Source organism: Homo sapiens, chromosome 4 (assembly GCF_000001405.40).
Source record: "Homo sapiens chromosome 4, GRCh38.p14 Primary Assembly".
Lineage (NCBI taxonomy): Eukaryota > Metazoa > Chordata > Mammalia > Primates > Hominidae > Homo > Homo sapiens.
The window spans coordinates 145055264-145083084 of NC_000004.12; the positions used below are offsets into that span (position 1 = coordinate 145055264).

The 27821-nt window shown below is 35.7% G+C and overlaps 1 protein-coding gene across 21 annotated transcripts in view; it reads right to left on the reverse strand.

Annotated features, from left to right (window-relative positions):
- ANAPC10 (anaphase promoting complex subunit 10) overlaps window positions 1-27821 on the reverse strand; it is a 103997-nt gene that overhangs the window by 60689 nt on the left and 15487 nt on the right. For 16 of the 21 annotated variants that reach the window (NM_001256708.2, NM_014885.5, NM_001256706.2 and 13 more), the window contains 2 exons: window positions 26397-26487; window positions 9309-9429 (listed from right to left, as the gene is read on the reverse strand). In NM_001256708.2, coding sequence (NP_001243637.1) covers window positions 9309-9429; window positions 26397-26487 — 212 coding nt within the window. Of the gene's footprint in view, window positions 1-7929; window positions 9099-9308; window positions 9430-26396; window positions 26488-27821 lie in introns of those variants that run through there. The other 5 variants (NR_046345.1, NM_001256712.2, XM_011531531.4 and 2 more) reach the window with 2 other exon arrangements.

The window sequence follows — 27821 nt, forward strand, 5'->3', positions numbered from 1 at the left end:
TTAAAAAAAAGGAGGCCAGTGAGGTAGCTCAGGCCTGTAATCCCAGCACTTTGAGAGGCCGAGGCGGCCAGATCACCTGAGGTCAGGAGTTCGAGACTAGCCTGCCCAAAATGGTGAAACCCTGTCTACACTAAAAATACAAAAGTTAGCCGGGCATGGTGGTGTGTGCCTGTAGTCCCAGCTACTCAGGAGGCTGAGGCATGAGAATCACTTGAACCCAGGATGCAGAGGTTGTAGTGAGCCAATATCACGTCACTGCACTCCAGCCTGGGTGACAGAGCTAGACACTGTCTCAATAAATAAAAAAAAAATTAAATAAAAAAAAAAGGAAATCCTGTCACATGATACAACATGAACCTTGAGTACATTATGCTAAGTGAAGTAAGCTAGTCAAAAAAGGACAAATATTGTATGATTTCACTTATATGAGGTATCTAAAGCAGTCAAATTCATAGAAACAAAAACTAGAACAGTGCTCACCAGGGCCTGGAGAAGGGGGAAACTGGGAGTTGTTATTTAATGACTATGATTTTTGGTTTTGAAAGACAAAAAAGTTCTGGAAATGTGTATTCATAACCACGTGAATACCATATATGTAGCACTACTGAACTAACTACATAAAAAATGGTTCAGGTGGTAAATTTTGTGGTATATGTTTTTTGCAATTAAAAAAGTTTTTAAAATGTCTGAGACAGGGAATCTGATTTGCCCAGATAATCTCTTTGAAGCAAACTACACAAGCATGGGTCAATGGCAAGCCTATGAACTTCTGGTATTGTCAGAGGCGTGTGAAACCAGAGCAACTCCATCTTGAATACGAGCTGGGTAAAATGAAGCTGAGATTTACTGGGCTGCATTCCCAGACGGTTAAGGCATGCTAAGTCACCAGATGAGATACAAGGTCAGCATAAGATACAGGTCATAAAGACCTTGCTAATAAAACAGGCTGCAGTAAAGAAGCTGGCCCAAACCCACCAAAACCAAGATGGCCACGAGAGTGACCTCTGGTAGTCCTCACTGCTACACTCCCACCAGCACCATGACAGTTTACAAATGCCATGGCAAAGTCAGGAAGTTACCCTATATGGTCTAAAAAGGGGAGGCACGAATAATCCACCCCTTGTTTAGCATATCATCAAGAAATAACCATAAAGATGGGCAACCAGCAGCCCTCAGGGCTGCTCTATGTAGTAGCCATTCTTTCATTCCTCTACTTCCTTAAAAAACTCGCTTTCACTTTATGGATTTGCCCTGAATTCCCTCTTGCGCAAGATATAAGAACCCCCTCTTGGGGTCTGGATTGGGACCCCTTTCCTTGTAACATCTTTCTGGCGACCACTGAAGGGACTATAGTGTGGAAATCCCCGACCCAAAGGTTAACAAGTTTGGGTAAGTGGTGGGGTCCTGTAACAGTGTGGTTATTTAACAACTTTTTAATTAAATGCCTACTGTTTCAGACACTATGCTAGGCTCTCAGCCAAATGCTCACCCCTGCTCTGACCAGCAGGCTATATTCCCAGTATGTTTTCCTTATAAGAGGGATTGATAATCTGCATTTCTAAAACCATGTCATTTTCATTTTCATAAGTAAAATGCATATTTCTATTGAATCATATCCTGTCATATGGTTAAATAAAGGGTTTTTAGATTTTGTGGGTTTTTTGTCTTCTTTGCCCTAGGCTGTTACCATTGCCACTTTGCCTAAAAGAAACAGTGCAGGTCTTCTATAACTGCTGCAAAAGATCACTTGAAAAAAGTGACCTTACAGGACAATGCTCTTGAAAGAAAATTCATCAACTTCTAAGTTTAAGTACGCATTAGCAGTACAGAACCTTCCAAATCAACACATTATGAAACCAAACAAGAATCCTCCTCAGAATCATCTTATTTGGCACAAATATTATAATAAGAAAAGATAGAATTCCTGCTATTAAATCATTTCATTAGTCCCCAATCTATAAATTTAGAAACAATTACTCCAAAGAGTGCTTAAACAAGTTTTAAGAACTACCTTAGTTCAGAATTGCATTAAGTAAATTACATTAAGTAAACTGCCTATTAAAACATGAAATACAGGAAGTGTTTCAGTCCCTATCTGCCTAGATAATCCTGACTTTATATGACTTCATATGAGAATATGACAACATATTCTCTTAATTTTCTTCTCATCTTTCTGAGAGTTCCTCTCAGCTTTCTTCACTGGATAACCTTTTCCTATCCAACTCTCGAATATTGGCATCTTCATGGTTCCAGCCCTAGCACTCTTCTTTCATATCTAAGCTTCTATTTACACACTGATGATTCCAAAATCTGTATCTCTAACCCAGACTTCTTTCCTTAGGTTCAGATCCATATACCATACCCTACTATCCATGGACTACCTACTGAAAATCCCTCCATTTGAAGAGATACCAGATATCAGTGACCAAAATTAATCTCATTATCTAAGTCCCTTTCTCTCTGCCCCTCCCCCTCAGAATGTTCCTTCTCTGTATGCCATTACTAGTAAATGCCAACTTTCAACCAGTTGCCTAAGCTGAGAATTCCAGATGCCCCTTTCTGCTTATTCAAATCCTACCCAATATTCTGAATATACCCCAGGTAGCAATCAGTCACAAGTCCTTTTAATTTATTTCAAATATAGGGAACCCAACTGCCATAGCCTTAATTAAATCCTCGTAATTTTTACCTGGCTAATATTATATCTACCTGGTCTCTAGGTGCTCCAGCTCCCCCATTCCCATGATTAAGCTGTGTTGATGTTTCCTCATTTAATGTCTGCCATTACGTACAATCTGACTATACATTTTCACTGAAACAATTATATACTATATTTATTTCCCTACAAGAATGTAAACTTATGTATGGGAACCATGTTACATCACAATATATGTGTTGAATGAATAAATACTTCTCCAGTCTTTCTTACCACTCCCTCAGACCTATCCAGCTTCCATGGCAGACTGAATTACTTGCACTTCTGTCACTATACCATGCTACTGTGCTTCCATACCTTTATGTACATCATGACCCTGCTAGAATGCCTCCACTTGATTTTGCACCTGAATAGGCTTTGTATTTATCCTAAACAGTCAGTTGAACCATCAACCTCTTCAGCTTTTTAAACCACTGGGCTTTAAAAACCACAAAACAATATTGTGTTCCCATAGCCACCTCCAGGTACTTACTATACTAAATGGCAACTGAGAATTTTTTGCATATCTCTTCCATGAGACTATGAAGTGCTCAAAGGCAGAAACTGTGACTTTATTGTATCCCCAGTATCTAACACAGTACCTGGCACTTAGCAGGCCCTACAGCATTATTCACAGAATAAAGCATGAATCTGTTTTGTATGAAATGCCAGACTACATCTCTTAAATAATCTACAGTATAAGTTTGTGGTCAAACAAAAACAAGATACAATTAAGTTTCTAAAAAATATAGATGATACTTCTTCTTAAAAATACAGATGTTACTTTTCTGTATAACATATTTTAGTTCCAAAAGGAAATATGCCCCAAATGCATAGTTACCTCAACTCCATTTTGGAAATAAGTGATGCATACAATAATAAATAAAAGTTTTCAAAAATTCTATATATTGCTTTTAGAGAAGGTTAGAAGGTAACATTTTTTGGCCTAAAAATTATGTGTATCACACCAAAACATTCTACAATGACTTCAAAGATGAACTAAAGTTAGTTATGAAACTACTTTTTTAAAAAAATCTTTTAAACTAGCTAAATTCAACAAAAACTATTTTTCCAAAGACTTGATAAATTACACTTTCTGTCTTATCAAACCAATTTATGTTTATAGATACTGCCTAAGCCATTCCACTTTATATCAAATTGTTTAAAATAGGCCCCTCATAAGAAAGCAAATATAAGTAGATTTTGGGATCAACAAATAGAGCCAGAACTTTTGTCTGCATCTTCTTACTCTATCACATACATTAGGGGAACTCAAATTTTAATAGGAAATATTATTTTATCAGAAGAACTGACATACTAACCACTTCTGTCAAAGTACCATATATGGACTCACATGGTTGTGCTACTGAAATAAGACACAAGTAGAGAGCGAAAGGCCACATGAAACCATGGGAAAACATTACAGCTCTCTCTAACACTGAAGACTTATTTCAAGCCTCCTTTTAAAAAAAATCACTTGGTAACAGCTTTATTATCTGAAGACAAAAACAGAGCTTAAAATTCACTTAAGCACTCGATCTTGTGCTCTTGTGCTCTATCAATATTTTATCCTTTCATGGCCACAAATTTTAGAAGCAATAAACCAAAGGACAACTTTCACATATGCTGAAAGTGTCTACTTAACCTTAACAAGTTGTTTCTCATATAACAATATAGAAATAATTTGAGAACTGTCACAGTGTGTCTAAAAAACACTTTAGTTTCATATTTAAGTACAAAATATTCTACAATAATTTTTAAAAACAACAATAACTAGTTAGCAAACTGAAAAGGACTTTAAGTATCCTTGAATTTCAGCTAGAGATATTTTCTAAAATGCTATAATGATCACATCTAAAATATAATGTTCTTTGGTCCATTGCTCTAAATGATAAAAAAAAAATCTCACACATTATTTTTCCTTCTGAGAGCAAAAGAAAAGAACAACATTAAATCAAAACATAATGCTAAAACGCAAGGGATTTAAGAATTTAAAAACTACCATCTTGATTTGAAAATTTCTCTTGAATAACATGAATTCATGCACAAAAGTAACCCAACTGAGATGAAGCATTCTGCAAAGAAAGACAGTGTAGACTCAGAAATGCTAAATTATCACTTCTATATAGAAATAGTCTCTTGTGTAGAAGCAATAAATTGCAAACATCTTATAAAGTGTTCTTAAATTGTTGGTTTTCAATTTATGTGGAATAGGATATTTTGAATACAAGAAAGTAGAACGAGAAGCATAAATAATTTCAATTTTGTCATTAAAAATATTCTGTTTGGCCAAATCCAGTTTTAGTATCTTGTGACTATTCAGCAGAAAGTTCAATTTAAGTCCTCAGGTATAGTGGTTAAAATACACATTCTAGGGTATTAAAGGAAGGGTCTGATGCCTTTGTAGAGAGTTATCAATAGAAGTAACAAAGATCTAGATACAATACATGCTTCATAACTAAAATGAAGGAAAATAAATAGGATAGAAAAAGAATAATTTATTGCTAAATAAGGCAGCTATATGCTTTTCTCAACTTAGACTATTTTTTAAGTTACTACTTCAAATCAACAATTACAAAAAATAAGCATCTCAAGTAAACAAATTCATAATTTCTAGTGAAAAAAAAAGGAAAATCTATTAAAACATTTCAATACACACTACACTACACCCTCCAGTGGGCAAACATCCACGGAAAAATAAAAAAGATTTAGGTGGATTTTCCACTCAGTTAAATCAGTACTATAACTAATGAAATGATGACTCTGAAAACCTCATAAAAATTCACACTATTTTAATAACTTGTTTTAGTATATGAGTCAGAAGCAGCAAAGTTTTTTTTATATATTTAGATATTGTGGTAGAATAACAGAAAAAATAAAATCATGATCTGCTTCATCTTTCCTTAAAAAGCAAAGTGCTATCAGGCTCCTATTTAACTTAGAAAGAAAAAAAGGTAAACAGTATAAATCTCATACAAAGATGTATAATTAAAAGATAAAAGTATTCATATCACGAGCTGCAAAAGCTAGGCACTAACAATTTAAAGCAACATCCAAAAATTGTAGTTCCTGAGTGAGAACTATGGCAGAAAAGTAGTATGTTCATTAAGTTTTCCAGGAAAACAACTCACATTATCACCTGATAATATTTTGTATTACTGGTCTCATGAGGCTATGTGGTCACTAAATAGAAATATAAACACACTTAGAAAAAATTAAGAGACTACCTATAAGAGCTCTTTTTCTATATGGCTAATGTTTCAGCACTTAGATGACATAATAGAAGCAAAGACTAGATTAAAAGTATTTTACAAGGTCCAAATATCGCTTAAAGTTTCTCCTGTTAACTTCTCAAAATCCTTATTTAATGTCAGTAAAATTTACAATAGAATACAAAACATCTTTAATACAGATACCTAGAAATTTCATATGAATATGTACACTTCCCAAAAATGCATCAAAGAGTTCTTGAATATATATTCTCCAGGAAAAACAAGTACAACTAAGATTACATGAGGTCTTGAACTTAGTACAAATAGGCTACGAAACTAGAAAATAAAGGACAACAGTGACATCTAGAGGAGGTTTCAAATATATACCACGTATATCAAATCAAAACATTTTATTGCTAGTGTTTCACTTATCACAACTGCCTGAGGAGCTATATGATAAATCTTTAGTTATAAATCAAAACAAGCCAACTCTACTTATAAAAGGCTTACCAATATGAGTGATCCAATCATTTGGTAATGTGAAATTTTTAATAAAATACAATTTAATACGTCAAGTCATCAGAGAACTAAACACTGATTAAATGTATCAGATATGTGACTAAAAGAAGGGCTGTCAATTGGTCCAAAAATAAGAGGCCAGGCGCGGTGGCTCAAACCTGTAATCTCAGCACTTTGGGAGGCCGAGGTGGATAGATCACTTGAGGTCAGGAGTTTGAGATCAGCCTGGCCAACATGGCAAAACCCCATCTCTACTAAAAATACAAAGGAGGCTGAGGCAGGAGAATCACTTGAACCTGGGAGGCAGAGGCTGCAGTGAGCTGAGATCAGGCCATTGCACTCCAGCCTGGGTGACAGAGCAAGACTCTGTCAAAAAAAGAAAAAAAAAAAAGATTATGATAAAAAAATTTAAAATATTCTGAATTTAAGAAGCACTGGGTGAATAGAAAAACTTAAGAAGACTAAGAGCTGATTTATTTATTAATCTATTCAAGCACAGGAAGTACACATCAACCAGCATGGCCTGTCAGACAAAAGAAGAAATGTTTTTAAATTAAAAGAAAACTAATTTACAACAATTTTTCAATTTTTCAGAAGCTGAAATTAGTTTTCAAGAAGGGTTTCTTAAAAGTAAGGGCTGGGCATGGTGGCTCACGCCTGTAATCCTAGCACTTTGGGAGGCCGAGAGAGGCAGATCACTTGAGGCCGGAGTTCGAGACCAACCTGGCCAAAACAGCGAAACTCCATCTCTACTAAAAATAGAAAAAATTAGCTGGGCATGGTGGCGCATTCCTGTAATCCCAGCTACTCAAGAGGCTGAGGTTTAAGAATTGTTTGAACCTGGGAGGTGGAGGTTGCAGTGAGCCAAGATCATACCACTGCACTCCAGTGTGGGTGACAGAGTAAGACTCCGTCTCCAAAGAAAAGAAAAAAAAAAAGTAAATTAAGATAATTGTCTATAACAAGACCAAGAAGTTATCTCAAAGTAACAAACAACCTGAGTTCAGATGTCAGCAAGATGGCACTCCCATGTTCACTGCAGCATTATTCACAATAGCTAAGATATAGAATCAACCTAAGTATTCATCAATGAATGGGTAAATAAACTGTGGGGTATATATACCCAATGGAATATTATACAGCCCTAAAGAGAAGGAAATCCTGTCATTTGCAGCAGCGTGGATGGAACTGGAGAACACTATTGTTAAATGAAACAAGCCAGGCACAGAAAGACAAATACCACATGATCTTATTTACATATGGAATATTAAAAAGTTGAACTCAGAAGCAGAAGGAGAATGATAGTTTCTAGGGGCTATAATGGAAGGAGGGATTGGGGAGATGTTGGTCAAAGGGTACAAAATTTCAGTTAGATAGGAAGAATAAAATCAAGAGATCCAGTATATAACAGTGACTACATTAATAAACAATGTGTTATATTCTTGAAGATTGCTAAGAGAGTGGATTTTGAGAGTTCTCACCACAAAAAAGTGGTATGTGAAGTAATGCATATGTTAACTAGCTTTATTCAGTCATTCTACAAAGTATATATATTTCAAAACATCATACTGTACATGATACATACAATATTTAATAATTTTTTTAAAAACAATGAATATCTCAAAAGACAAAACAACAACAAAAATACCTTGGACAATATCCTCACCTGTTCTTATTTGTCAATACATATGCAAGTTTTACGAGAACAACACTTACTTAATAAGAAAACAATGAAAGTACATGTGATTTCTATTAAGTATTTTATTACTAACTCAGATTAAACATAAATTTAGAGACACGGTCTTAATATAAACACTAAGTCAAATAAGAGCCAAGACCACAAATTAACTGGAGGCCTTTCAAAGATCACAAGTGCTTCCCAAATCTCTCAGAACCACCAGATTTTAATGATTATTTGGGCTTAATGATTTTCTGACCAAAAAATGTCAACAGCCACAGCTTCACAATTATGTAGTTCAAAGTCATTGAAAATACCTCTGAAATACTTCAGGACTAAAGCACTGTCCTAATAACTTCATGCAGGATAAATATATTGTGGTATATTCAAACAGTGAAATACAACTCAGAAGTAAAAAAGAATGAAGCAGTGACACATTCAACTACGTGGACAAATCTCAAAAACCCTAGGCTGAGTGAAAGAAGCCATACATAAAAGTTATATCCTGTATGACTCTGTTCATATGACATTGTAAAACAGGCAATATGGATCTATGATAAAAAATCAATCAATCAATAAAATCAGTATAATAGTTATTTCTGAGGGTAGGATAGAGATGAAGACTGAACTGCGAACAGATATGATGGAATTCTCTGGAGTGGTGGAAATGTTCTATATTTTAACAGGAGTTGGGATTACATAAATGTATGTGTTTGTCAAAACTCACCAAGTAATATACTTAAGATTATGCAAAATTGTGCATAAATTTTATCTTAAAAAATGAAAATTAAGCAAATGTTGATAACTCTACCAATATATCACACTGGTATTTGGGGTGAAATGGACAAATATGCACAAGTTATTTTTAAATGCACAAAAAAATTAGATGGACAGATTGTAATAAAGCAAATATAGCAAAATATTAACAACTGAAGAATCTAGGAAGTGAGTATACTGGCATTCACTGTACAATTCTTTGAGTTTTTCTGTATGTCTGAAAATTTCAATAATAAAATATTGTGGAAAAAATAAAGAGAACAATCAGAATTCAGAAGAAAAAAATTTTACACTCAAACATGTTTTCTCCAATATTTTTCTCTTATATATTAACATTTTAACCTGTCTAATGTAATGTCAACTGTGACTATCTTCTAATGAGTAAAAGTTAAAGGATGACATATTTTTAAAAATTTGAAAGACATACCCGAATTTCTTGAAGGTTGTGAAAATTATTTCCTACTCTGACTGAGATCTTGCTTGGAGTATAGCTTTCATCAGATTTGTAGTCTGCATAAATACATAATGTCTTCACTGTTGTTTTTCTTCTAAAAGCAATAAAGTAAAAATAACATGCACTTCATCATATGAAAAGATTTCCAATGCATCTTATCTTCTGATTTTAAAAATCATAGTTTGCTAAAAGGAGTATTTGAATCAACATTTTCATATCTTTTAATTTCAACAAAAATGAAAAATGTAAAAATATAGGTCCAGATAGTATGTTAAATATAGGCCCAGATAATATGTTAATTATACAGACACCTATGTAGAACATGGTCAAGAGCCAGATGCAAGCAAAGAAGGATCAGTTAAGCCAAATTAGGTACTTTATCATGCAAACAAGCATTAAGGATTTCCATCCTCTTCATTTGTATTTTAGACAAAGAAATTATTCTCATAAGTTTGGTTTCCTTTACTAAGTACTTACTTCATTTCCTATATTAAATACTTGAAAATAACTAGCTAAGTGAGGAACTGGGTCCAGCAAAGAGAAAACTACCTTTCCTAAAAAATACAACAACCTAGTTTTAATGCAAGAAATAGAATTCTGCTGCTGATTCTTTCTTTCTTTCTTTCTTTTGCTATTGATTTTAAAATATACATATCCTAGGGAAAGAAGAAACACATAATAGAAAACGAACCTCAGAAAAAATGCAAGTGGCCAACAAAACATGAAAATGTGTTCAACGTCTAATAATCAAAGAAAGAGAAATTAAAACACACAGAGATATTAGTTTTATCATCATATTGGAAAATATTTAAACAACTGATAGTACTCAAATTTGATTAGAAAAAGGTGCTTTCATCACCAGTTAGTAGAAACACAACCTTTGACCTACTAATTCAAACTTCTGAGAATGCATTAAAATACAGTAACACAATCACTCAAAAATTGATGTCTAATGAAGGCTGGCCTTGGAGAAAAAAATGGATGCAGAAAAATCTTGTCCTGTGATTAAATCACTAGAAAATTAAAAACAGCCTAAATATCCATGACAATAGAGAATTGGTTAAATAAATTACAATATAGCCATTCAACGAACTGCTATAGAACTATTTAAAATAATCATGTACATATATAGTTACAGTAGAAAAAAGATTATAAAACAATATATACAGAAGAATCACATTTGGGGGAAAACAACAATTTTTTAAAGGCATGTAAATCTATATTTGTATATAGAAAAAGACCTAGGTGGAATTACCCAAAAATAGTAAAATTAACTGTTTTCGTGGGATGGGACCATAGGAGATCTTTATTTTCTTCTTTATGATTTTTAAAGTTTCTGAACAATTTTTCAGAATGAGCATGTGCTATTTGGCCACCAGGAAAAAAAAAATCTAGGTGATTTTAAAAACCCAAAAACCCATTAAGAAATCTATTTACATGTGCTTTAAAAGTTAAGTTCTAGTATAAACTGGCACTAACTTTGTAACAATGAGCTCCTTGAACAGAAGTACTCTGTGTCAAAAGTCAGCCTATAAAAACAGCAGGGGCTCTGTAGCTCTTAGTAAGGAGACCAAACTTCTGTAGCCTAAGCTATTCATTAGAAAGGAATAGGGAAAGTTAAGCACTTTTCCTCGGATCAAGAGGTAAAACACTAAATACCCAGGAACTGCTGACAGGATAAAGACCATTATTAGGTTTTTAAAAGAGGCCAAAGGTATCAAACTGACATCTTTCTCTCTGCTGAGCCAGAAAGGAGACAGGAGAGGAAGCAAAGAAGGACAGGAAATTTTTGAAGACCTTTTTCCTTGATGAGCCATAAGCAGGAAGTAAATGGTCTTTCTTCTTATGGAGAGATCAAAGATCACGAAGATGGCTCTTAAGAACTTTTTTTTTTTAAGGAAGAAAAGAAAGGCAGATCTAAAGGATCAAGTGTTTTGCTCAGAATAATTACGTTTCTAAATTGTGAAATTCAGGTACACTTATTCACTGCCTTCAAGATGATCAGGGCAAGTTTAGAAAAGCAAAGAATACTAAAAACACTAATGATAATAAACACAGTAACAGCAAAGAGCAAGTGAATATTTTGTGTCTGGCCCAGAAGTAATGCTCTATACATATTGTCTCATTTATTTCTCAGTGTTGTCAAATAGGAACTTTTATTTCTTCATTTTTCTGATTTAAAAAAAAAACATAACACTTAGGTTAATAACTGGCTTAAGGTCAAAAAGCTAGTAGGAGGGAACAGTTGAAATTAAAAAATGTGTCTGTCGACCTCACATGATTTTAACCAAAACTTCCTTTTAATTAATTGTGCTTAGCTCATTCAATAGTCATTGATACGAGTTTACAGTAATAGGTAGGTGTCTGTAGTTTTTTAAATTTTTTCTAAGCCATGAGTTATTATCGTAAGGTTCACGTACCCACAGAAATCGTACGTATAATTTGCTATATACATAGTTTCATTAAATTTGCATAGGAAACTGTGACCTCACCAAAAGTTTAAAATAATTAAAAGGTAGAGTAAAAAATTTTAAAATCATTTATCAATTTTATCTCATGATGAATTTTAAAAATAATATTTCATGGAAAAGCATGCTATGTTTCAAATAGCAATGCATGTCATAAGATTAAACATACAGACTATTACACATAGAGGCAGTAGCTCAAACTGCTCAAAACCATCATTATAATAATAATCACTCCATAGTGAATGCTCACTATACGCCAGGCATCGTGCTATATTCGTAGCATAAGATATTACAAGAGTGGGGAAGGAAGAGGGCAATACTTTCCTATTTCTGATGACATAAGTAACACTCCTGGACACTCTCTATCCCCTCACTCACTACACGCTTTCTCCTGAGAAAGAGCTTCTGGCAGGAACCAAACATTTGCTTTGTTCCTTCAGGCCACTAATTTAATAGAGGCACATGCTACCTGGTCTAGTGGTATAACTGGATGGGTAAGACTGTTTAATTCTAAGGTTCAATATTAGGAAACACACTTGACTAAGATATAATGCAGTTATATTTCTCAAATATCAGTTCTGTCTGTTTTATAAAGTTGATATTTTGGCCGCCTCCTGCTACCACAGATACGAGCATCTGCTGAATAATTTCTCATTGGGTTTGGAACCCATGAAATTCTGATTGAAGACATTAGTGACATATTCCTAGTTGCCTAACCTAAAATCCCTTTATCCCCTCTTTCTTCATAACATCTGGCTAAAAGATCCAACTTCCCTTAAAGTTAGGTAGAGCCATATGACTAAGTTATGGCCAGTAAGATTTAAACAAAATGATGGTGTGTACTAAAGAAAGTTTCTTTAAAAGAAAAACATGCCCCTTTTACCTTTCTCATCTACTCCTTCCTGCTGCCTGGGATATGGACATGATAGGTGGAATTCCAGTAGGCATCTTGGACCATAAGACAACCTTGAGGATAAAATCTACAAGCTAAGAATGAAGGAATGTAAAGAGAAGGAAACTGGGTCCACAAACACACTGTGAGGCTGCCATACCACTCCTGGACTGCCAGGCTCCTCTTACACGAAGAGGTAGAAGAAATAAATTTCCACCTTGTAGAAAACACCATTATCAAAAGCTCTGCTACTATATGTTCTGATTTCTAATTAATACAGCATTACTGTGTCTGTATTACAGATGCAGAAACTGAGGTTCACATCAGGTTAAGCAAGTGGTCCTTGTTTACACATCTAGTAAAGCACAGAGCCAGAATTTAATCCAGGTCTATGTGACTACATTATATAAGAGTAACTAATAAACCCTAAGGTACAAAACTTAAAACTAAATATATGTGATAGACGATAGCTTTACATTTAAAGCTAAATGTAAAAAACAAAATAGTTATAAAACATGTTTTTAAAATCGTTCTTCTTAACGTGCTAGATATATTACCAGGAGGTTGAGACAAAATAAACACAGTCCACATAGTTGTTTAAATCAGAAGCAAATATTTATAAATAACTATATTCTTCCATATATGTTCCTGGTATAAAAGTGAAAAATGGGGGCCGGGTGCAGTGGCACACGCCTGTAATCCCAGCACTTTGGGAGGCTGAGGCAGGCAGATCACAAGGCCAAGAGATCGAGACCATCCTGGCCAACATGGTGAAATCCCGTCTCCACTAAAAATACAAAATGTAGCTGGGTATGGTGGCATGTGCCTGTAGTACCAGCTACTTGGGAGGCTGAGGCAGGAGAATCGCTTGAACCCAGGAGGTGGAGGTTGCTGTGAGCCAAGATTGCGCTACTGTACTCCAGCCTGGTGACAGAGCGAAACTCCATCTCAAAATAAGAAGTGAAAAATGTCCTCTGTATCAATGTTAACTAGATGCTAAGATGAAAGTTTTCGCGGAAGACTACAACAACAAAGACCATGTTTTGAAAGGATATATGAGACCTTAATGCATAATTTTCAGCAGATACGGTCTTAAAATAAAATAAAACAAGAAAGTCCGAGACATCTGCTCATGAAGGTTAACTGCTACATGACTTGCCTTCCCACTACAGACAACTAGAATACTGGAGAACATATCTGAAGCATCCAGAGATGCTGAGCAACAGGCAGCACAGGCCTCTAGGTCCTGAGAGAAAGAAAATAAATGAGGTGAGCCCTACAAACAACTGAGTTTTCTGGCTGCAGGCAATTTTGGGACTGCAATGTGAAGAGGGAGATGCCAAAGAGAATCTAGTAGTCTACTGAATTGATAAGGAATAAGCTACACAAAGAAAAAACTCCAGAAATATGCGTGGGGTCCCCTTCATTCTATGCCTGAACACAATATGAACATGCATACAGCAAAACTTCACAAGGATAGGCAAAGAACAAGCACTGGGGAAAGAACAATTACTGGAAAGCAGTAAGCCAAACAATTTCCAGTGGGCACAGAGGACTGGGAATCATTAAAGCTCCCAATAACCGAAGTGGTAAGTCCTCTTCAAATACCTAAGACATTCGTTTGAGATCCCAGATGAGTCAAGCCTTAGTAATGAGGCTAATCTTGCCCAAGAGAAATGATCTTAAAGAGTGGTCTGGGGACCTACAGAGGACCTCAAGACTCTTTCAGAGGATCAGCAAGGTCAGAACTATTTTCTTAATATTACTAAGATGTAATTTGCCTTTTTCAGAATCATTCTCTTATGAGTATGTAGTAGAGTTTTCCACAGGCTGACATGGGATATTGTAAAAGATTTAATGAACAAGCAGAAATGAGACTCCAGCTATTTTTTGTGAACCAAAAAGGTTCACAAAAAATGTAAACAATGACACTCTTCTCACTATTTTTGTTGTTGTTCATTTGGGAAGAGACAGTTATTTTTCATAAAATTGTTATTTATGTTGTTAACACATAATAGGTTAATTATTGTTTATTTTTAGTGAATAACTAAATAATTTAAAGTCCCTAATCTATAATTTCTAAAATAGTAAATAATGAGATACATATATAAAGATTTCTGAAGTCCTCAATAAAAGTTTAAAGCAGTACTGAGACTAAAAAGTTTAAGAACTTCTGCTCTAAAGCAGGGCTTGGTAAGCTACAGCTTGCAGGCTAAATGTGGACCGCCACCTATTTTTGTAAATAAAATTTTATTGAAACTAAGTGACACTCCGTCATATACACATTGTCTATGGGAGCTTTAATACTACAATGGCAAAGTTGAGCAATTGCAGCAGGACATATAAAGAAGTCTTACAGCTTAACAACAAAAAGACAACCCAATGTAAAAAGAGGGAAGGGACTTAAGCAGTCATTTCTCTGAAGAAGATATACAAATAACCAGGAAGCACATGAAAAAAATGCTTGATAGCACAAAACATTAGGGAAATGAAAATCAAAACTATAATGAGACAGACTCATTAGGATGACTATTATCAAATGTTGGCATGGATGTGGAGAAACTGGAACTTCTGGGCATTACCAGTGGGAAGGTAAAATGGTACAGCTACTGTGAAAAACAGTATGGAGGTGACTCAAAAACTTAAACATAGAATTACCATATGATCCAGCAATTCCACCTGTGGATATATATCCAAAAGAAGTGAAATCAGGTACTTGAACAGATATTTGCACACCAATGTTCATAACAGTATTATTTACAACAGCCGAAAGGTAGAAACAACCCAATGTCCTCTGACGAATGGATAAACAAAATGTGGCACAGTCATACAATGGAATATTATTCATCCTTAAAAAGGAATGAAATTCTGACACATGCTACAACATGAATGAACCTTGAAAACATTAGGCTAAGTGAGAAAAGTTAGACACCAAAGGACAAATATTATATAATTCCACTTATATCAGGTCCCCAGAACAGTGAAATACACAGAGGCAAAAAATAAAACAGCGATTATCATGGGCTGGAGAGAAAAGGAAATTGGGTGGTTATTATTTAATGGGTTCCACACAGGATGATGAAAAGTTCTGAAGATGGAGGTGGTAGTGGTTGCACAACACTGTAAATGTACTTAAGGATACTTAACTGTACATTTAAAAATGGCTGGCCAGGAACAGTGGCTCATGCCTGCAATCCCAACACTTTGGGAGGCTGAGGAGGGCAGAGCACCTGAAGTTGGGATTTCGAGAATAGCCCGACCAACATGGAGAAACCCCATCTCTATTAAAAATACAAAATTAGCCAGGCGTGGTGATGCATGCCTGTAATCCCAGCTACTTGGGAGGCTGAGGCAGGAGAATTGCTTGAATCTGGGAGGCAGAGGTTGCAGTGAGCCAAGATCGTGCCATTGCACTCCAGCCTGGGCAACGAGAGTGAAACTCCGTCTCAAAATAAATAAATAAATAAAAAGGCTATAACAGTAAACTTATATTTATATTTCACTACAAATAAAAAAAATCTTTACTGTTTATTACTCACCATCTCAACAGAATATTAAATAAATAATATTGAATTTTATTATTCACCATCTCAACAGAATAAAGAAAAACCATATGATCCGTATGAACAGATACAGAAAAGGCATTTGAGAAAATCCAAAAATGTCTCAAGAAACTGGGAAAAGGGAACTTTATAACCTGATAACCTGAAGGGTTATCTTAGTTTCTTTCTAGAAAGGATGAATAATCCTCATCAGGAAGCTGGAGGTACTACCATGTAAAAAAGAAGATGATTAATATACCCTCAACAAGAGAACTGCAGATAAATCATCCATAGCATTAAGTGAATGTGGGTGGCTGATTCTCTCAACCCACAAAAGCATCCATAAGATAATAGTCAGCTTTAAACATACAGCCAAGTACAGAGAACATCAATGCTATATCACCAAGATACAAATGGCAATTACAGACTTTCCTTCTTTTCTTACCTCTTCTTCGTTCCCATACTAGCAGATCTAACAAATTCAGAAATGTGAAAGGACAAAAAAAACACAAAAAAAACAAAAAAAAACTAGGTAGGGTAAGAGAAGCAAACTACACCCAACTTGCAACAAGCCCAAGTTTAGGGAGAGGAATAAAACTTAAAGAAACTTTAAAGCAAGATTGAGGCTTTCACTACTCACTAGAACTGAACACTTCTATTTCTAAAATATATTTTGCCATTTGAAATAAACATAAAACTGGGTAGGTTACCAAAAAGTGTGCTATATGCTCCCCACCAAGTTCTCATCCAGAGCAGAGAAAGAGCTTGTTCTAATTTTAAAACACAATGAGATATAAAATAATGTTGCTTTATATATGTTACAATATATGTTCACCTTAACAGATCAGTAATACATACAAATTATTTCTCAACTAGCTGAGAAACTGCTACATAAATCGAGAGTTGCTTATTTTCTATGTGAAGAAAAAACATCTAAGGAACCAAATAGTTTAACAAAATATAAACTCCAAATTGAACCTCTTTCAAACTTGTTTGTAATATAATTTTTTGAATACAGGAATTTCTTCCATTAGTACATAATGTTTTCATGAAAACATGGATGAAGATCAAATGGAAGAAAGCTGAACCCTGAACTTATATAATAGAGGTAGGAAAGTTAGTTCTCAAGTGCTAAAAAAATCTACCCAATAGAGGTAGGAAAGTTAGCTCTCAAGTGCTAAAAAAATCTACCCAATCCTAAATCACAATCCTAAATTATACCAGATGGTTCAGTCACAATCTTTGACAATAAATATTTAACATTTCCTTTTGGTGTTCATAATTCAATATGTAGGTGACTAGTAAAGTCCAATGAATATCTAGTTGAGTCTAATGATTTCTAATGTATTCACAAGTATTAATACACTGTGATTAAGCCTAGTATCTATTACGTATCTGTTTTTTTTTTTTTTTAGGAGACAGGGTCTCGCTCTGTCACCCAGGCTGGAGTGCAGTGGCATGACAATAGTTCACTGCAGCTTCAAACTCCTGGCCCAAGCGATCCATGTCAGCTTCCTGAATAGCTGAGACTACAGGTGTGTACCACCACACCCAGGTAATTTTTTAAGTTTTTTATAGAGACAGAATCTTGCTTTATCTCTCAGGCCAGTTTTGAACTTCTGGCTTTAAACAATCCTCCTACCTCAGCCTCCCAAAGTGTTGGGATTATAGGCGTGAGCCACTGCACCCAATCTACTATTTTTTAAATGACATCAGCACTTTAATTTTTCCATTTGCTCTACTTTTAAAAATAAGGGGAAAATGCAATAAAGTATTCTATAATTGCACAAATGCTTTTTTACAAAGATACCTAAGCTGCTGAAACTGTAGTGCTACCAGGCAATAGGTCCTGTTGTTCACCTGTTACCTGATATTTTTTAAAAACCTAAAATTAATCCAAAGAGATGATTAAGCAAAAGTATAAATGTCACAAAATTATAAAGTTTAAAATTTATGAACAGTGTAATTTGGGGAGGAGGGTAAATAAACTAATTTGTATGATTTGGCTTAAGCAATTTACATCCATACATATATTGGTATTAAAGTATATATAGGATTTTATTAAATTTATAAAGTACTTTCTGTTCAAAGTGCTTTACATGACAATGGAGTTTATTACTATCAATGTTTTCATTCAACCCAGGCTTTAGTAAATACAGGTTTTTTAAAATTTATAATTTATCTTTCATTATTAAACTATCAAAATTTCTCTTTAAAATGAAGCAAACCAGCACAACTTTTCAATATTTTTCTCAGCATTCTTGTGTCCTTTTCTATTTCAATAAATTTCTTTGCGACACAGAAATCATTTTAATATAATTAAAAATGTTGTATAATGTTATTACCATGATAAAAATAGCAAGATTACATTTAATAAAATTTGTAGAAATTTTGATGAAGGCAGATCAAACAAAAGCACAAATTTTGCTTTGTTCCTACTCAGTTTAATATTTCAGTATTTATCCTTTTAAATCAGCAAACAAGTACATTAGTCCCTATAATCCATATTAAACTAAATTACTCCCCAATTTTCCTTAAAATATTATTCCCAATATTCCTTAAAAAATTATTAACGAATTTTGAAATTCTTCCCAAGAGAATTAGCCCTTTACAAACAGAAAATAATTCACTTTATAAAATATATAAAACATATATTATATAAAATAGAGAAGCAAAAAGCTTCTCTATTTTCCATTTAAGTACAAAATTACACATTCAAAGAACATTTCATTTTCTTATTATATTTTTTCCTTCCCCCTCTCTACGTTAGGACTTATTTCTCCTAACTGCCAAGAAAAATTACCTCTCTTTTTGAGGAGGGCAGAGGGCTTTTTCCCTTCATTTAATTATGTAATAGGTAAGTTTTTAATATATTCTATTCAAATTTTTATGAAGATCATTTCTTTGTAAGTTTTCTGCATGGCTGATAGAACAGCACCTTCCTCCAAAGAAAAACCAAGAAATATGAAAATTTTCCAAATTAGATTTTCAATGTATGAGCCCTATGTGATACTTAATTGCTAGTGTGTCTATTCTTGAATTTGGAAATATTTCATACTTTAAATTATGTTCACATTCTAACATTTAAAGCTATTTCACAAAAAAAGCATGCTAAACATTCAGCAAGTGAAGCATAATGTATTTTAATTAGACCTAATCAGAACCATTAGGACTAAACATGAGCTTAGAGGATCATGTAATCTAACCACCATCTATACAAATAAATAACCAGGTTCAAAATTTTTCTGACAGGTAGCAACTATTACTATCAAGCAGTTAAATTATCTTTGATCAGTTCCAATTTTTAAAAGTTTTCTTTATACTAAGCCATAACTGGTCTTTGTGTAGCTCTTACCTTTTGGGCTAAGTTTTTTCTTATGAGATGACACATACAAAACATCTAATTCCTCCACAAAGTATAAATCCTTCAAATTACGGAAAGAAAGCTACCATGTCCCCCAAAGTTTTCGGCAGACCATAGGTTCCAAATTTTTTTTTTTTATTATTGTTTGGCTTCAATCCCCTATTCTGCCTACTCCCTTCTGAGCACATCCTAGACCTTCTTTATCAGTGTTAGCAGGGGAAGCCGACATGGAATACAACACACCAGGAGGTCTTCATAGATTCTGTGCTTACCTTATTGCATCCCAAAATCATACTAGCTTTTTTAGCAACCACATCACACTGTTAATTGAAACTAAACTCACTGTCAACTAAAACTGCTTAAATATCTTTCACACTTCTGGCTTTGTCCTCCTTTCCCATCTTGAGTTTACACTCTTCAAAAGGAAGGAAGAGAAGTGGATTAAATGTAGAACTATAACTTTATATTACATTTATTATTTACTAATAAAGAGACTAGTACCTTTTATTTTAATTTTAGCAACCATCTTAAATAAAACTTTTATTTAAAAAGAATCTCAGGGTTGATCAGAGCCAAGATGGCCAACTAGATGTGGCCAGGAAGAGCTTCATTCACCGAGAAACCAGACCATCAAGAAGACAAGCATACTTTAAGCAGACTGTCAGAAGGAAGGCATTGAGAGTGGACAGAGGGAGGACCAAGCAGACCCTGGGCTGAAAGGGGAGTAAGCTAGGAACCGTGAATGGGGTTGCTGAGCACCAGGACTCATTTCTGGCCCTGAGCAGCTCCTGGGGAAGAATTAACTAAATAGGTGTGGAGTAGTCCACTCTCACCATGTATCTCCAGAATTCTAGTGGCAGGAGGCCCCACAACCCCCCCAGGCATCTGAACCAGCAGGGAGTGCTGCTTGGAGAGTTAGCAGGCATAGGACCCCAGCCTGTGTGGAGCCCAGAGGGTTTGGCATGGAAATGGCTACAGTGGAGCACAGCCAGGGATGCCTGTCCCTTAAGGCTTGTCATGTACCTCTAGGTGGCTTTGGCCTTTGTTGACTGTTGGACCTGCACAATATAGGGCTGTCTTACCCATGGGATGGGGGCCAGTCTGATCTGAGCAACACTTTGTCTGCCAGTCTCTCCCAGGGTCCCTGCTTGGCCATGTCTGATTGCAGCACAGCCTCAGATGACCTACTGGGTGCTTCCCAGCAGCCACTGCCATAGCTTTTTCACCAACAGACCCCACCTAACCAACAGAAAGCTTTAGCAGATGGGCTGCTGCCAGCATACATTTGCCCACAGACTTCCCCTGACTGCTTTGACTGCACCCCTCATTGGAGTGTTGTTGCCAGCACACTGGAAACACTGTGGCCCCTCCAGTACAGCAGTTGCTTATCTTGAAGGGCCAGAGAACAAGGTTTTGGGTCTGTTCAAAGGCCCTCTGGATTACAGCATGCAACCCACAAGCACTGAGCTGAGCCTTGGTACCCTGAAATCATCCAGAAATGAAACTAGTCAACTAAACCCAACTTGTACCACAGTAAAACCCTCGATGACATCAAAGAAGATAAAAGCAAAAAAGTCCCATCTAAAGGACAGCAACTTCAAAGATTAAAGGAACATTTTCCCACACAGATAAGAAAGAACCAGAGCAAGAATTCTGGCAAGTCTAAAACACAGAGTGTCTTCTTACATCCAAATGAGCACACTAGTTGCCCAGCAATGGTTCTTAACCGGATTGAAATGACAGAAATGACAGACATTTGGAATTCAGAATTCAGAATCTGGATGGCAGTGAAGAACATTAAGATGCAGATGGAAGTTGAAACCCAATCCAAGGAATCTAAGGAATCCAGTAAAATGAATCAAGAGCTGAAAGACGAAATAGCTATTTTAAGAAAGAACCAAACTGACCTGGTAGAGCTGAAAAACTCACTACAAGGATTTCATAATACATTCAGCAGTGTTAACAGCAGTACACACCAAGTTGAGGAAAGAATCTCAGAGAACAAAGACTGGTTCTTCAAATCAATTCAGCTAGACAAAAATAAAAAAGAATTTGCCAGGCGTGGTGGCTCACACCTGTAATCCCAGCACTTTGGGAGGCCAACGCGGGTGGATCACGAGGTCAGGAGATCGAGACCATTCTGGCTGAAACGGTGAAACCCTGTCTCCACTAAAAATACAAAAAATTAGGTGGGCGTGGTGGCAGGCACCTGTAGTCCCAGCTACTCAGGAGGCTGAGGCAGGAGAATGGCGTGAAACCGGGAGGCGGAGCTTGCAGTGAGCCGAGATCGTGCCACTGCACTCCAGCCTGGGCGACAGAGCAAGACTCTGTCTCAAAAAAAATAAATAAATAGAATAAAATAAAATGAAAAAGAATTTTTGAAAAAATGAGCAAAACCTCTGAGAAATATGAGATTATGTAAAGAGACCAAAACTACAACTCATTGGGGTCCCTGACAGAGAGGGAGAAACAACAAGCAAACTGGAAAATATATTTGAGGATACTGTCCATGAAAATTTCCCCGATCTCGCTAAGGAGGTCAACATTCAAATTCAGGAAATTCAGAGAACCCCAGAGTATATGAAAGAGCTGGTATCAACCCTACTGAAACGATTGCAAAAAACTGAGAGGAAGAATTCCTCCCTAACTCATTCTATAAGGCCAGCATCACTCTGATACCAAAACCTGCCAGAGATCCAGTAAAAGAAGAAACCTCAGGCCAATATTCTTGATGAACATCGACACAAAAATCCTCAATAACATACTAGCAAACTGAAACCAGCAGCACATCAAAAAAAGGCTAATCCACCACAATCAAGCAGGCTTTATTCCTCGGATGTAAGATAGGCTCCACATATGCAAATCAATAAATGTCATTCATCACATAAACAGAACTAAAAACAAAAACCACATCATCATCTCAAGAGATGCAGAAAAGGCTTTCAATAAAATTCAACAATCATCATGTTAAAAATCCTCAACAAACTAGGCATTGAAGGATCATAATTCAAAATAATAAGGGCCATCTATGACAAACCCACAGACAACATCATACCGAGCAAAAACTGGAAGGAAGCATTCCACTTAAGAACCAGAACAAGACAAAGATGCCCACTCTCACCACTTCTATTCAACATAGTTCTAGAGGTCCTAGCCACAGCAATCAGGCAAGAGAAAAAATAAAAGGCATTCAAATAGGAAGAGAGGAAGTCAAACTATCTTTGTTTGCAGACAATATAATTCTACACCTAGAAAACCCCATAGTCTCTGCCCAAAGACTCCTAGATCTGATGAACAACTTCAGCAAAGTTTCAGGATACAAAATCAATATACAAAAATCAATAGCATTTCTATATACCAATAACATACAAGCTAAGTGCCAAATCAAGAACACAATTCCACTCAAAACAGCCACAAAAAAAAAAATAAAACACCTGGGAATACAGCTAACCAAGGAGGCAAAAGATCTCTACAAGAATTACAAAACACTGCTGAAGAAAATCAGACATGACACAAACAAATGGAAAAACATCCCATGCTCATGGATAGGAAGAATCAATATTGTTTAAAAAAAAATGGTCATAACTGCCCAAAGCAATTTATAGATTCAATGCTATTCCAATCAAACTACTGACAGTTTTCACAGAATTAGAGAACTATTCTAATATTCATATGGAACCAAAAAAGAGCCTCAATAGCCAAAGCAATACTAAGCAAAAAGAACAAAGCTGGAGGCATCACATTACCCCCAACTTCAAACTAAACTTCAAAACAACAGTAGCCAAAAGAGCATGGTACTGGTACAAAAACAGACACAGAGACCAATGGAACAGGTTAGAGAACCCAGAAATAAAGCTGCACATCTACAACCATCTGATCTTCAACAAAGTTGGCAATAACAAGCAAAGGGGAAGGAACTCCCTATTCAATAAATTGTACAGGGATAACTGGCTAGCCATACGCAGAAGATTGAAATCAGACCCCTCCCTTTCACCATATACAAAAATCAACTCAAGATTTATAAAAGACCTAAATGTAAAACCTACAACTATAAAAACCCAGGTAGAAAACCTAGGAAATACCTAGAAATACCTAGAACATAGGACCTAATAAAGACTTCATGACAAAAACTCCAAAAGCAATTAAAACAAAAATGTAAATTGACAAGTGGGACCTAATTAAACCAAAGAGCTTCAGCACAGCAAAAGAAACTATTAACGGAGTAAACAGACAACCTACAGGATGGGAAAAAATATTTGCAAACTATGCATCTGACAAAGGTCTAATATCCAGAAACTATAAGGAACTTAAATTTACAAGAAAAAAGCAACTCTATTAAAAAATGGGCAAAGGACATGAACGGACATTCCTCAAAAGTAGACATACAGCCAACAAGCATATGAAAAGATGGTCAACCTCACTAATCACTGGAGAAATACAAATCAAAACCACAATGAGATACCATTTCACACACAAGTTGGAATGTTTATTACTAAAAAGTCAAAAAAAAATAACAGATGCTGGTGAAGTTGTGAAAAAAAGGGAATACTTATACACTGCTGGTGGTAATGTAAATTAGTTCAGCCACTGTGGAAAGCAGTTTGGAGATTTCTCAAAGAATTTAAAACATAACTACTATTTGACCAAGCAATCCCATTACTGGGTATATATCCAAAGGGATTTAAATCATTTCACCATAAGACAAATGCACACATATGTTGATTGCAGCACTACGCACAATAGCAAAGACAAGGAATCAACCTAGATGCCCATCAACAGTGGACTGGATAAAGAAAATATTGTAAACATACACCATGGAACACCACACAATCATAAAAAAGAATGAAATCATGTCCTTTGCAGCAGCATGGATGCAGCTGGAGGCCGGCATCCTAAGAGAACACAGAAACAGAAAACCAAATATTGCATGTTCTCACTTATAAGTGGGAACTAAACACTGAATACATGGCTAGGTGTAGTGGCTCACACGTATAATCCCAGCACTTTGGGAGGCCGAGGCGGCTAGATCACCTGAGGTCAGGAGTTTGAGACCAGCCTGGCCAACATGGTGAAACCTTGTCTCTACTAAAAATATAAAAATTAGCTGGGCGTGGTGGCAGGCACCTGTAATCCCAGCTACTCGGGATCCTGAGGCAGGAGAATCACTTGAACCTGGGAGGTAGAGGTTGCAGTGAACAGAGATCACGCCACTGCGCTCCAGCCTGGGCAACAGAGAGAGACTCTGTCTCAAAAAAAAAAAAAAAAAAAAAAAAACACACATTGAATACACACAGATACAAAATAGGGAACAATAGACATGGGTGCCTACTTGAGGTGAAGGAAAGGAAGAAGGTGAGGACCCAAAAACTACCTATTAGGTACTATACTTACTACCTGGATGACGAAATTTGTACACCAAAACCCAGCGAAAGGCAACTTACCCATATAACAAACCTGCACATGTACTCCCTTAAACTAAAATAAAAGTCAGAAGGAAAATAAATAAATCCTGCCTAACATCTGCTTTTGTAAGATAAAATTTAATTAGAACAGCTAAATTCTGTCATTTATGCACTGTGTAGGGCCACCTTTGTGCCATAACAGTGGAACTGAGCACTGTAGCTGCAAAACAGATGAGATGGCCCACAAAGTCTAAAATATTCACTATCTGGCTTGTTGGAAATTTGCTGATTTGTACTCTAGGACAATAAAAGCAAACAACTAAAAATACAATGCTATAGAATGTTAAAATAGATGGTATAGGCCAGGTACAGTGGCTCACGCCTGTAATCCCAGCACTTTGGGAGGCCGAGGCGGGTTGAATCACAAGGTCAGGAGTTCCAGACCAGCCTGACCAACATGGAGAAACCCCATCTCTACTAAAAATACAAAATTAGCCGGGCGTGGTGGCGCATGCCTGTAATCCCAGTTACTCGGAAGGCTGAGGCAGGAGAATCGCTTGAACCTGGGAGGCGGAGGTTGCAGTAACCCGAGATCACGCCACTGCACTCCAGCCCGGGCAACAAGAGCAAAACTCCATCTCAAAAAAAAAAAAAAAAAAAAAGATGGTATAAATGGAACAAGATAGCTGAGTTAACTGGTTTCCAACTATGTCAATAAATTCAGCCAGGCCCAGTGGTTCATGCCTGGAACCCCAGCATTTTGGGAGGCTGAGGTGGGAGGAATGCTTGAGGCCAGGAGTTCGAGACCAGCTTGGCCAACATAGCGGCCAACTGTCTCTTATTTAAAATTTTAAAAATCTGATAATAAATACATTCAAAGCATTGAAAAACATGTGGCTGTTTTTCCTTTCCCCTCAAAAAGCATTATCAAAAAGGAAAATGTCCTTAAAGGTTCTAAGTAAAAAAAAAAAAAAAAATTTTCCAAATAAAAGTAAAAATTTGAGAAGTTATATGAATATTCCACAGCTAAAAAACTTACGATCACTCCAGGTTTACTTAATATGATACATTAAGGTATTGTATTGGGCCATAAGCAAAATATATCTTTCTGAAAGTACCCGCAAAAAATAAATTATATTGAAAAGTATATTTGAGAAACATCTACATAAAAGGAACTATGCAACATACCATAAGAAAATTCATAAAAAATAAGACAGAGTAACTTTAAAATGCTAATAATCTAACTGAACTGAAAAATAATCTATAAGACTTCAGAGTTTAAAAAGTTAAGTGTATTTCATTGTAATTTCTATCTTTAATTTTTATGTTAATAAAATAGATTTATTTGTCTATAACCTACAGTAGATGAAAAATTTGAAAATGTATTAATTACCTGAATTGGATGTTCACTAAATGAGGCTGGGAACCATCTGATTGCCAATAAGTTTCTAGATTGTCATCTCGTAACTGATCCACTCCAAATCCTAAAAACACCAAAAGTGTCAATAAATCCCTGTGAAAAAGAAACAACTATACATGCAAAACATAAAATTAACATATGTATTTGTCCAGAAATTTTGATAAACAGAAAGGTCAGAAATATTAATTTTTTTTTATTTATTTTTTGTAGACAGGGTCTTGCTGTGTTGCCCAGGCTGGCCTCGAACTCCCAGCCTCAAGTGATCCTCCTGCCTTGGCCTCCCAAAGTGCAGTGATTACAGGCATAAGCCATAGCACCCAGCTGTGAAACTTAAATTAACCAGAATTCTTCTACCCTTTTATTCAGAGCTCAACTCTTATTAGAGAAATATCACTTGCACATACAAACCCTATATTAGGATCAAGTTATTTTGTTGTCACCTTTTTAAAAAACATCTTCTAGGAGATATTATATTTTTTTGAGACAGAGTTTCACTCTCGTGGCCCAAGCTGGAGTGCAATGGCACAATCTCGGCTCATTGCAACCTCCGCCTCCCGGATTCAAGCGATTCTCCTGCCTCAGCCTCCCAAGTAGCTGGGATTACAGGCACACGCCACCACGCCAGACTAATTTCATATTTTTAGTAGAGAAGGCGTTTCTCCATGTGGGTCAGGCCGGTCTCGAACTCCCAACTTCAAGTGATCCAGCCGCCTCAGCTTCCCAAAGTGCTGGGATTACAGGCGTGAGCCACCACGCCCAGCCGGATACATTTTAAAGAACGTATGTATTTAAACTCAGTTTCTTGTGCTTTTTGCAAGCTGATAGTAAAAATGACTAAGCACAAAATCCTCAAAAATAAACACATTCTAATAAGTTCAATATGCCATGCTTACTGAGACAAGAAAAAAGATGACTTAAAATATTTTCAAAAGGCATATATATTCTGAAGCCAAATGCTTCTGATTAAAATTCTGATTAATCAAAATTAAATTTACCCAGAATCCCATGTTCTCCATCCATTCTACATAAATGAAGTTGTACAATCCTGTGTTTTTTCCTGATTAAAACCACAATAATTCATACTAATTTTAGAAATGAATCTGATTTAATGGTAAAATGCAGACTTTTTAATAAGAGAAATAAGTTTAACTTACATTTCAGTTTTACACTAAGTAATATATTCATTATGGAACAAATCCAAAAGGAACAAGACACAGTGAAAAGTCACTATCTACCATCTCATTCTTCTCTCCAAATATAGTTAATGTTTTCAGTTTATTGCATGCCCTTTCACAGATACTATATGCATATACAAGCAGTCATATATGTATTCTTTCTATTCCCTTTTCTTTAAACAAATGATAGCATACAGTAAATAGCTCTGCATGTTGGTGTTTT